The 13,274-nt window shown below is 37.0% G+C and overlaps 1 protein-coding gene across 5 annotated transcripts in view, besides 1 other annotated feature; it reads right to left on the reverse strand.

Annotated features, from left to right (window-relative positions):
• MARCHF1 (membrane associated ring-CH-type finger 1) overlaps positions 1–13,274 on the reverse strand; it is an 859,722-nt gene that overhangs the window by 423,391 nt on the left and 423,057 nt on the right. The gene's annotated exons all lie outside the window — the stretch shown is intronic.
• Positions 2,737–3,236: an enhancer, noted in NCBI's record as "H3K4me1 hESC enhancer chr4:164871577-164872076 (GRCh37/hg19 assembly coordinates)". NCBI's record gives its function as "activates a minimal SCP1, AML or CMV promoter by ChIP-STARR-seq in naive H9 embryonic stem cells {active_cell/tissue: H9 hESC(naive)}" and the evidence as "EXISTENCE:reporter gene assay evidence [ECO:0000049][PMID:30033119]".

Consider the following 13,274-nt stretch of genomic DNA (forward strand, 5'->3'; position numbering starts at 1 on the left):
TATAATAAAATGTGTGGTGTGTTAGGTTACTAAATGTGTGGTAGAAGTAGGAAACTAGTAGCGTAGCTTATATTGTCTAGAAGCCATCTGCCTTTGAGGTAACGTAGCTTCCTCTTGTGTATGATCTGAGCTACCTTTAGTTTATAATAATTTACCATAGTTTTCCATTTCATATCTAAGTACTAAAAACTGCTTTGTAGTTATTTTAGTTTCTTAGGAGAAAAATAACTATATGATGTAACATTTCCATTTCTTTTGGCTATTAGCAAGATTCTAAAGGTATGCAATAATATTCCCCCAAAGTAGATTTCTCTACTTTTAATCATCAGCCACCACTACTTCCTCTTGATTACATGATTTGCCTTCTCACCAATCTATCTTGTTTCTTTGCCACATTGTGTCTTCTACTATAGCACATTACAAATCTAAGTACAGAACAAAGATCTATCTGATGACAACAAGGGCACAAAACATGCATTTTAAACTAAATAACCAATATCCTAAAATGGCATCACATGGTATACTTTACGTTTCAATGGTTCACTAGTCAAATCAGGTAATATCATTAGCTAGACTTTTTTCATATTAAGAAGCAAATTCTTAGAGGTTAAACTAATTGTAGATGTCCCAATATAGTAAAAAGAACACATTTATTCTCATTAGGAAAGAGCAGCCTTCTTAGGAAGAGTAATCTTCTACGCATTTACTACCTGTCCAGTACTTTAAGACTTGAAACTTTAATTCTTTACATATGTGAAGCTTAGAATCATTTGAGGAAATAGCAGAAGCAGGTTAAAAAAAGTAGTATGTGATTAGTCATCAGGTATTTCAGTCAATACAATCTATACAAAGAAAATTAAAGACTGATCGAGGATAGGTTGTTTTTCAGAAAAGCCTATATGTAGACAGGACATGAGCTGGGCTTATAATTATGAGCAGGATGCAGTTAAATACAGGAGAGGAGAGAAGCCATTCTAAATGAAGCAACAGGAGTAAAGACAAGAAGAAAACCTAAGTAGAACACTTCAGTTATTAGGTAAAATGGAGGAACTGTGGAAAATAAGAATAAACAGGAAGGAAAGTCTACATTTAATGGAACAATCAGCAACAACTTTGAAATATCATGTTAGCTTTAGCAATAAAGTGAATAAAAGCTTTAAAAAGACAATGATTACTACAACAAGTTGAAGGGTGAGAAAGCCACAAATTAGAAACACCAAGTCTAGGGGATTGTGAATGGAGAACAAGATTTTAATCAAGGAGCCATCTGACCCATAGTACTGTCACAGGATCCTTTGGGTGTCATCTTTCCAGTGGGAAATCTCTGTGGCCAATGGCACCTTTGCCCGTGTTTTGCTTGGGCCCGCTGGGCTCATTCTGCCCACTTGGCCTGGCAGTCTGCACTCAACTCTCACTACCGGCTTGGATCCCTTGCCTGCTAAGGGCAAGCCAGGTGCAGAGTGGTGATGGGTATGTGAGTGAGTGAGCATGGGGTCTGGCCACTGCACACAGCCAAGCATGCCGGCTGCGGTGGGGCAGGCAGCTCCAAGTGCCTGCACAGGTGCCAGCTCCCTGTGAGGCTGCAGATGGACCAGGAGCACTGCAAACGGCTTCCACGGCTGGTACTGGGAACACAGTGGCACCTAGAAGCTTGGAGATGACAGGAACTGCAAAGCCCCAAAGAGGGTGTCACAGCCCTGGCTCGTGAAGCTCTAGGGCTGGGCTCCCCAAAGGGCTGCAGCTCGTCTATCCTCTCTTCTCTCCTTCTCGTCATCCACAATGTGGTGAGAAAGGGGCCTGTGTCAGCTCGTTTGTGTTACAGCACTTTCAGCCCTGCCATTCAGCGGGTCGCAAGTTCTTGTCTTGTGTCCAGAAAGAATGAGTTACACAGACAAGTGGAGGGTAAGCAAGATGAAGCGGGGCTTTACTGAGCAACAGAATAGCTCAGAGGAGACCCACAGTGGGTAGCTTCTCTCTCCAGGCTGGTTGTCCTGATGAGTGCTCAGCTCTCATCAGAGAGGAGACCCACAGTGGGTAGCTCCTCTCTGCAGGCAGTGTCTGGAGTGTTTAGAACTCAGCAGAGAGGAAACCCACAGTGAGTTGCTCCTCTTTGCAGGCAGGTTGTCCTGTCCTCTGCTCAGCTCTCAGCAGAGAGGAGACCCATATTGGGTAGCTCCTCTAGGCAGGCAGGTTGTCCTGTCCTCTGCTCAGCTCTCAGCAGAGAGGAGACCCAACGTGGGTACCCCCTCTCCATAGGCAGGTCGTCCACTGCTGGAGTCTGGCTGAGTCCAGGGTTTTATGAACTTTAGGAGAGGAAGTGTGTGCTGATTGGTCCATGGGTGGTCATGGGCGGGCCCAGGAAAAGCACCATAAGTTCTCACTCTGGCAGCCTGGCCCTCAGGGCACAGGCCAGGCCCAGCCTGAAGGTGGGGTTTCACTGGCGACCCACCCCTTTCTGCCTGGGAGCCTGTCTGCCTCCTGCCGCCATTAACTTGTCATCACAGTGCCCACAGCACCCAAGCTGTGCTGAGGGGTGCCTGCAGGCTTGCTTTGAGCCACCCTTAGCCCCGCCCTTGGACTCCCTCTTGTGCTTATCAGTGCCCAAAGTCCAGAGGGGGCCAAGGTGGCAGGGGACTGGCGTGTCAGTGCTGCCTCGAGTGTGTGCACACCCAGCCAGGTCATGACAGCATCCGGACTGTGCCACAAATTTGTTCTGAAATTGAAGTGGGCACCCAGAATGGGGAGAGGCCAGGCATCAGGAGCAGGCACTTCTGAGCCTGCAGCAGGGGGCGGCGGTTGCTTCCCGGTCCCAGAGAGTGTAGAGATGTCTGGGTCTGCAGCCCTGGCTAGACAGCGGTGCTCAGGAGGGTGGGGCTCCTGCCCCTCCCACTTGGAAGGGGGCATGGCTTCTTCCTGTTCCCAGCTCCCGCTGGCTCCGTGGGGCATACAGCCCCATCCACACCTCCGCGACTGCAGCCAGCGTCATGGCAGCGGCTGCTCCAGATAGGCTACTACCTGTGATACTATAAAGTTCTGAGTCCACACTGTGATGCTTAAATAGTATAAATGTTAACTTAGGGAGATCAAACATACTAATTTATAAGATTATTTGTATTGAGTACGTAAATTTATGAAAAGTACATATTCAAGAAATTGATCTAAAGAAATCCATTCTTCCTTGACGTTAGAAGAACTCTCATCTTGACATGAGCTCCAAAGAACATTGTTCAGGGCCATAATGAGCAAAGCAACTTAATAATTTAGAGACCACTACAGTTATTGCAAAAGCATGAAATGTCATAGTATCAGAGAGAGTCAAGTCATGTAAACTGAACAGAGTATCTACCAAAAAATGAGAGCACACAAAAATATCACTTCACTTATTTTGATTTTAGACTGAAAAATAAACTTCAACAAAAACAACATTTAGATGAAATGAGAAAAACTGATATTAACAGAAGCAAAGGAAATTGGAGGGAAAAAGATTTACTACATCTGGAAATAGCCAGATATATTTGCACTTATCCATGAACATATCTGTAACTTTATCTTTAGGTCTATTGATCAAAATTCCTGGCTCTTTTTTTCACCGTTAACCCTTGTCCTTAACTCTCATCTATGAAGTAGATTTGCTATCTAGATGCATGTAACTACGAACACAGGTGTAAGCCTTCAGTAAAGTTAGGGATAGTAGAGTTTGAAGAAAATATGCCAATTTAAGTGAGCAGGAGGATTACTTCCTGGTAGAGGATACACAGGCAAAACCAAAACCAAAGCTAAAACCAAAAGAAAAATGAAGTCTGGGCAATTAAGAGGGAATGAGAGAAAAGGTCTGAATGATTGACTGAAGCTATCCCTAAAACGAAGCCTCCAAGGGAGCAAGGACTACAATCTGGGAAACAAGGAAGAGAAGGAGAAATATCAGAAAGGTAAAGCAGACGGGACCAGAGTAATTGTCAAAGGTAAGTGCTGTATGTACTGCAGTTCACAGCTGGTTTTCAGAGGCCTTCCTAGAAAGGTCTTGTGGATAAGTCAGTTGACTTTAAAGATCTAGGGATAGCTTAGATCAGCTGAAAGTATACTTTAGAAAGTAAGAGTTACGCTCCTGGTTATAGCTTCTCAAATATTTGTTATCTCAATAAGCTATATATGAAGGTACCTTAGAATGATATTATCAGAAGCAGACAGTCCCCAGATTACCATTTCAAATATGCTACACACTGTGAATTATAGAGGTCAACATTTTTATAAAATTATAAAAGCACCCGTGTTTCCTTGTTTTTCATTTTGTGATATAACTTAGCATTATAAAGAAGAGAACATTTCTTAAATGTTGAGAAGTAGTTATTAGTAGCAACAAAGATTCTATTGATCTCCTACCCCCTTAAGACTCCATGAAAATCGCTTGTTTTTCCCCAAGTAAGCATCAGGCCATGAGAAACATATATTTGAGTTTGATCTTGCAAATATACAGACATATTTTCCATTTCCTAAATCAAAGTCGAACACTGTTGAGTATAGTAGATGTCATCTATGAGAGATTATTTCACACATTCTTTTATTCTTTCTTTAGCCTATATAACGATACACACTGTAGAAAATGCTAAACCAAAGACATGTGAAATCTCTGTTGGGTAGACTTCTCTCATATTTTTATAAAATTTACTCTACACGCTAGTGCAAAGCTTCTATACTAATATTTTCAATGTCCTACTCCATCTCTCTGGGCTATAAGGGATTCCTAAAAAGAAAATAATTAAAGTGCTTAAATGTTAAGCATGTTATAAAATATGAGACTGGGTCATTAAGAGAAAATTGTGGATTGCGTTTCTCAGCATGCATACCATACAACAAAAAGAGGGTCTGCATGAGGTGCTTATCTGTATTAATGAGACATTCACCACTCCATCTATGTAGTAATTACGATCCAGCCCAAATACTGTGACCACATATAATTTGCATATCATCTAAATAGCTATGTGGCTGTAATCTGCTTTGAGAAAGTACAAAAGTCAATGGTATATGAAAGACACAATGCCTGCCAGCTATCTCCCTTGTCTTTTATCACTGCACACCACCAAGCACAATTAGTCAAAAGGCTTACATGACAATCAACAAAGAAAAAGAGGCTTCTTCTGAAATTTTTCCTAGGGACTCAGAAATGGCAGGTGAGAAGCTCTGAGGTTATCTTTTGAAAATCTGGGCCAAGAACAAAAACAGATAAGTAAAAAGAAGAATGTGAGCCAATCCATTTTCATCAGGCTAGAAAGGCTAAAAGTTGCAGAAGCAAAGAAAGATAAAGTCAAGAGGAATGAAATGAAAGACAATGTCATGTCCATTGGAAATTCAGAAGTGGTCATTCACCTGCCATTTTTTGACCTCCATGTTCTCTTTAGCTTTACACCCCTATATGTGGATGCCTTCCTCCAACCTCCAGCTACCTGTCAGAATTCCATCTCAAAGTTCCAAACAAATATTGCATTATTTGTGACGGTCTCCCTCACCTTCCTATAAAAATAAATATTTTTAGTACATAGCATGCATCCTATTGGGTGAGGCATCGTGGCTACTGTGATACAATGTAAAATATTTCAGGATTTGGCGTCAGACTTGGATTATTTCTACCCACTTTCTTGCTGTATGACTTTGAAAAGTCATTTAAGGCTTGATTTTTTCTCATGTGTAAAATGGTTGTCATCAAGCCATTCATGGGGCTGTCATGAAGTTTAAACAAGATGAAATATATAAAATGCTGAACACATAGTAGTTTAATACATGGTAGATTCACAATGACTTTTAGTTCTCTTTGCTTCTTTCTCTTTTGGCCTCTGTTTTTCTTCTCAGATCTACGTATATAGTGCCAATATTATAGATACAAGAAATTAATCAAGTTTCTAATAAACCCATAGTCAATAGTAATCCACTGTTAACATACATTCATATACTCAATGTCTTACAGTAGATATCAGCAAACTATAGCCTGGAGTCCAAATCCATCCTACATATTTTGCATAGCCTATGAGTTAAGAATGGTTTTTACACTTTTAAGGGGTTAAAAAAATCAAAAGAATAATAAAATCATGTCAAATTGAAATTTCAGTGCTCATGTAGTTTTATTGGAATACATATATGCTCATTTCTTTATGTATTGGCTTTGGCTGCATTTTTCTTACAATGGCAGAGTTGAGTGGATAAGGGTGAATGAGACACAGAACCTAAAATATTTATTATCTGGCCTTTTACAGAAAAAGTCCACTAACGCTTGTCTTCCATTAATACCAATAAAAAACTACAGCAGAATTATTCATGAGCAGGCTACTGTTCCAGACTTTGGTTCTAATTTCCTGATAACAAAAATGGCTGCAACTTAACAATAGGTTGTGTACAGTAAGCTCAGAATAGACATTTTTTAATACATAAAGAAATAACTAGGTAAAAGACATAGGTCCTGTGAAAGGTAAAATGATTCTTTCACTTATTAAAATTTCCCTTAAAATAAGGTAGGAAATTATAGTTCTCATAAAAATCACATGGAATATTAAGAGAGCATGACTAATTCCCAAGAAATTCAGAGTTTGAAAAAGTCATGTTTTTGTTTAGCATAAATCCAAATATTTATATGTTATGTAAAATACTTGGCATTTAAACTCCATGTCTAAAACTTTCTTGGATGATTAATATAGCAAATTTCATTTACTCATTAAAAATACATAATCAGTAGAAGTGAAATATAATGAGGTGACATTTAGAGATGCGTAAAAACAATTTTCTCATTTGTCCCTTGGATACTGTTAGGTAAAAATAAAATGCATATTTTAAAAGATGCATAATTGTATGCAATGTTCTTTCCTTTATAGAATTTTCACATGTTCATGTTGTCTTGACATGATTTCTTCATTTAAAAACAAATTATAGCCATGATTTTATTTATGGCTATCTCATACTTCTTCATAAAATTTTAAAAATCTAATAGACAAAGTTTAAATTAGTGCTTCTAAAATTTGAATGTGTTTATAAATCACCTGGGGATCTTGTTACAAATTCAAATTGCTCCCTGGTGATGCTGACATCACATTCAGTGGCAATGTCTAAATAAAACTGGCTTCTCACACTCAGAGGCACAAAACCAAGTAGCCATGCTTTAAGAGCTATAATTTTGCCCCTTGCACCTTGTATAAATTCAGAATAAAATTGCTTCATTTGATATTTGCTTGGAGATTTCAACAAACTATAGACTGTTTGAAATTTTTAAATGTTAATCTTTTTACAAAAGTAACACATTTGTCTGCCTCCGGGAAACCAATTCCAGATTTTAGCAACATTCTTTGTGTTCCTCTACAGTCTGTGATTCCATCCATGCCCATATTTCTTATTTTTAAGAAATATGGGAATTTGGACAATGGAGGTGGAATGTATGTTTCCATGCTTTATACTAAAATTTACTTTTGGGGAGGGATAACTTCTGAAAATGTTTATGAAAGACACCTTTAGTTCTAATGGCTTTCCTAATCCTTACTGAACATTAAAAAAAAAAAAAAAAAGAAAAGAAACACAGTGTTCTGGATAAAAGTCTAACAGTCCGGAGTAACTCTCCAGAATGATTTAATGATCTTACAGCAAGCTCTCTCACATAATAGAGGATAGGATCTGCTTTGAGGGAAAAAAAAAACAAAAACAAAGCAAAAAAAAAAAAAAAACTTTAATGACTCTCACTGCCTGTAACATGAAGTCCACACTTCACTTTTCAGCAGAACACACAGGCTTTCAGAATCTGACACTCCCTGGCCATTGTATTCTCTCACAACTCATACACTCACTCCACAGGCCCGTCCTGTCTGTGACTGTGCTGTGCTTCTCATGTCTGTGCCCCTGCGTGTGTTTTTCCTTGATCTGAAGCACTCTGATTTGCCTGTCTCACTCATTCACTCTTCTTGAAGATCGCATCTAACGTTTCCAGTCAGAATCTGGGGCTTTCCTTTATATCTTCCCAATCCTGTTACAGCACTTATGTCATGGCTGAAATTCTTCGCTTGCAATAGATTGTGACCCTCTCTAGGATAAGCATATTCCAGTCATGTCCATATTCCGGTGCCAAGTGCAGTGTATTGTGACAGATTCTTGATGAATGTCCAGTGAATTGACAACTAAATGAGTTTTATTTCCAATAATATATATTAGAAACTATAAACATGTATTTTGAACACAGATGCTAAAAAGCTGCTCAAAAATTGTCGCAAATAGAAAGGGATGGGAGATATGACAAGTAAATGCAATATGGATCCTGAATTGGATCCTGGAATAGAAAATAGAGGTGAGTTAAAAATTGGTGGAATCCAAGAAAAAAAGGTATGTTGTTAATAGCATTGTACCAATGTTAATTTCTTAGTTTTGACAAAAGTAATATGAAAAATTACAATTATGTAAGATGTTAACATCAGGAGAAGCTGGGTAATGAGTGTATCAGAACACTCTGTAGTAGCCTCATAATATTTATGTAAATCTAAAATTGTTCCATAATAGAAAGTTAAAAGAAAGTCTGCTCAAATCATAGTCTCAAGCTAGATTTCCTAAGTCATTTAGTCATTCAATAAATATTTACTGAAAATGTCTAACATATAGTAAGTGTTCAAAAATACTTCTTGAATGAACGACTGCTACATGAATAATAGGACATATGATGACTTTCTTTCTTGGACATGCCATTGTTAAAGTCACTGGTAAATTAGCTAACAAAGGAAGCCAGTACTGTTGTCCGAATATCACAATTTCAGTGAGGGGACTCGATAGTATTCTTTAGCCCACTAGTTAATTAGTACTAAGATTTTCATGCCACTTAACTGTTTCTTTAAGCAACAAATAAAGATGATACCAGGTGGAACATTTTTCTTTAAAGGCAACAAAATAGGAAAGATATCAGTGAAATAGACAATATTATATGCAAAATTGTAATATGAAGTGCAAAATTATTTTAAGTAAACAACACAGTTTATGTGTTGAGATAACAAATAAGTGGTTTGGGGGACAATGAACAAATAACAAATCCGGAGTGGTAACATGGCTTTCAATATTAAATATCTGCATTAGCATTTAGATAGTATATTTATCAATTTCAAATAAAAACACCTATAAATTTGTGTTTTCATCAAAAGACTACAAAGCGAAACTTACTGTGATAGTTATACATTTAGTCAAAAGAAGCTAAGTGTTCAACCAGCAAGAGTCCCTATGGCTAACCCATCCTCACTTAACTCAGAAGATTTATTCACTTTATAGCTATATTATTAGAATCTTCAGAAAATGATTTTTATTTTTCTTCCAAATGTAGAGACTCTATGTGACTTTTATTAAATTAATTACTATTTTTAAATGCTAAATAATTATATAAAGGTAAACAATAGAATCTGAATGTTTTAATACATTTTATTTGAATTTACTAACAGAAATTTTCTAGTTACAGCTGACAATAATTTTTTCTTTGAAAATATTATAGCTACTCAATTAAACTGTGATACTACATTCTAAATCATGCATTAAATTTTACCATCATTAATATAATGTGACAAATGTATTTTCAAAATTCTGTGTATGTGTGTAGTAACTATAATGAAAAATTAACCTTAACAGTAGTTCTAAAGTTTCTTATGGTTAAGTCCATGCAGCAGAACAAACTAGTATAAAACATAGTAAATGGCCTTGTGTTGCTCAGGAAACTATATCATCCACTGATTTGAAATTTGCTTTGAATATACAAAAGTTCTTATCAAGAATGCTTTGTTTTGCTGTCAAAAGCTTAGCTTTTTTTAAAAAGTTTTTTAAAAATGTGTTTTAGTCCCCAAAAAAGTAATGAAGAAGGGAAGTGAGATATCAAATTGAGTGAGCAGCTACTTTAATAGGTGGCAGATATATACATGTAAACTGAACTCTTGGTTTCCTTTATTCTGAAACTTAACTCTTTTCTATTGTTTCCTGATAAGGAAATAGCTCTATTTGTCAGTCATGGAATTTCTCACGCCAAAAAAATTTAAGTCATTGTTGACAATTTATAACCTTTACACCCAACTTTCACCCTGTAAGTGGACCCACTCTACTTACATTGTATATCATGAATCTAACCAGCTCTCTGTACATCCACAATTACCATCCAGATATGATCTGCACTTGTCTCTTCACAGGCTCCTGCAATAGCCTCCTAATGAACTCCCTGCTCAATTCATGTTTCTCTAAAGTTTATTTGCCATGCTGCATTCAGAAAGTCTTTTAAAAAATGAATATTTCCAATCATATTTTATTCACATTTAGAATAAAAAACAGAGCCTTACAATAAGAGCCCGAAAGACTCTTCATATCTGTTCCCTGGACACTTCTCAACTCCCTTTTATCCCTCACTTCTGCTTCAGCCATTCTTGCTAGAACATTTATAACATTCCTGTCTGATGGCCTTTGCACAGGAACATCTTTGCCTTCAGATGTTCAAATTTTACCTTCTCTGACAGCTATAATTTGACCTCTTTAAAACAGCAAACTTTTGCTTTCCCAAATGACTTTCAATCAAGTGAGTGTGTGTGTGTGTGTGTGTGTGTGTGTTTGGTCATTGCATTTATCATCTGACTTAATACATAAATATTTATTATCCATCTCTTTACACTAGAAAATTAGATATGATGACTGTTGTTACAAAGTTATGGACTTTATTCATTTCCCAATGGATATTCAGTGTCCAGAAGCTTAAAACATACAATGTAGCAGGCATTTAATAATGATTAGTTTTGTAAATGAATAAATGAATACTTTTTTTGTTACTTTTGACAAAGAATATTGTCATACATTGTTTCCTTAAAAATGTAAGATGTTGACTATTTTACATATTGAGGAAAAACCTGGGGTTACACAACATATAACATTTAAAATTTAGCCTTTGTTAAGAGTAAGATTTAGTGAATTTGAACAATTTGAAGAATATTGTATTCATTCTATTTTCTTACTTGATTTTTTTTTATATTGCTTAGTTGGCTGGTCTTTTAAGATCTACTGTAATCTAAAATTACAGGTAAAATTATTGTAAAAGAAGAGAGATCATTCTTGAAAATTTTTTCATTGTATGATGCACAAAATCTCACATTTGGGATGAATTCAGGAAGAATTTATTTTGACCAATAGAAAATAACAAAAATGACATTCTGGGGCTTCCGAATCCAGGCTTTAAAAGGATTTATAGCCTCCACTTTCACAAAGAGGGAACTCATCTACCACGGAAAGCTGTCTAGACCATCTGTTCTCACTGAGGAATTAGAGACATTTAGAAAAATGAAGGCAATTTGAAGAAAAACTGAGGCTCCCCAGCCAAATGCCAGCTAGAGACCCCAGAAATGTAGGTGAGGTTATCTGAGAATCTGTTCCCCAGGTTGATCTACCATACACAGTACCACATGGAGCAGAGAAGAGCTGTTTCTGCTGAACTGTACACAAATACCTGACTCAGAATTGTGAGCAAATACAATTATGGGTGTTTTAAGCGACTAAAATTCAGAGTAGTTCATTAAGCAGCTGTGCTAGTCTGCTCAGGTTGCAATTTTAAAATTCATATGGAACCAAAAAAGAGCCCAAATAGCCAAAGCAATCCTAAGCAAAACAACAACAACAACAAAAAAAAAAAACAACAAAAAAACAAAAAACACAAAACAAACAAAAAAAAAGCTGGAGGCATAGTGATACCCATCTTCAAACTATACTACAGGGCTACAGTAACCAAGACAGCATGGTATTGGTACAAAAACAAGCACATAGACCAATGGAACACAATAGAGAGCCCAGGAATAAAACCACACGTTTATGACCATCTGATCTTTGACAAAGCTGACAAAAACAAGCAATGGAGAAAAGACTCCCTAGTCAATAAATGGTGTTAGGATAACTGAGTAGCCATGCACAGAAGATTGAAACTGGACCCCTTCCTTACGCTATATAAAAAAATCAACTTAAGAGAGATTATGGACTTAAATGTAAAATCTAAAAATATAAAAACCTTGAAAGACAACCTAGTCAATACCATCCTGGACATAGGAATGGGAAAATATTTCATAATGAAAACACCAAAAATAATTGCAACAAATGCAATAAAATTGACTAATGGGATCTAATTAAACTGAGAGTTTCTGCACAGCAAAAGAAACTATTAACAGAGTAAACAGACAAGCTACACAATGGGAGAAAATATTTGTAACTATGCACCTGACAAAGGTCTAAAATCCAACATGTATAAGGAACAAATTTATAAGAGGAAAAAAACCCCATTAAAAAGCGAGCAAAGGACATGAACAGATGCTTTTCAAAAGATAATATACATGCGGCCAACAAGCATATGGAAAAAAGCTCAATATCACTGATCGTTAGAGAAATGCACGTCAAAACCACAGTGAGATACCATCTCACACCAGTCAGAATGTCTATTATGAAAAAGTCAAAAACGACAGATGCTGGTGAGATTGTAGAAGAAAGGGAACACTCATACACTGTTGGTGGGAATGTAAATTATTTCAACCGTTGTGGAAAGCAGTATAGAGATTCCTCAAAGAGCTAAAAGCAGAACTACCATTAGACCCAGCAATCCTGTTACTGGGTATATAACCAGAGGAATATAAATCATTCTATCATAAAGACACATGAAGACAAATGTTCATTGCAGCAATATACACAATAGCAAAGACATGGAATCAACCTAAATGTCCATCAATGACAGATTAGATAAAGAAAACTTGGTACATTTACATTACGGAATACTATGCAACCATAAAAAAGAATGAGCTTGTGCCTTTTGAGGGAACATGGGTAGAACTGGAGGCTATTATCCTTAGCAAACTAACGCAGGAATAGAAAACAAAATACTGCATATCTTCACTTGTAAGTGGGAGCTAAATGATGGAACTCATGAACACAAAGAAGGGAACAACAGACACTGGTGTCTACTTGAGTGTGGAGGGTGGGAGGAGGGAGAGGAGTGGGAAAAATAGCTATTGAGTACCAGGCTTAATACCTGGGCGATGAAATAATCTGCACAATAAACCTCTGTTACATGTGTTTACCTATATAACAAACCTTCGCATGTACCCTTGAAACTAAAATAAAAGATAAAAAAAAAAAAAACAGACTGGGTATCTTAAATAACACAAATTTATTTCTCACAATTCTAGGGACTAGACGTCCAAAATCAAGGTGCTGTCAGGGCTGGTTTCTGGTGAGGCCTCATTTTCTAGCTTATAGACAGCCACCCTGTCACT

This window comes from Homo sapiens, chromosome 4 (assembly GCF_000001405.40).
Source record: "Homo sapiens chromosome 4, GRCh38.p14 Primary Assembly".
Classification (NCBI taxonomy): domain Eukaryota; kingdom Metazoa; phylum Chordata; class Mammalia; order Primates; family Hominidae; genus Homo; species Homo sapiens.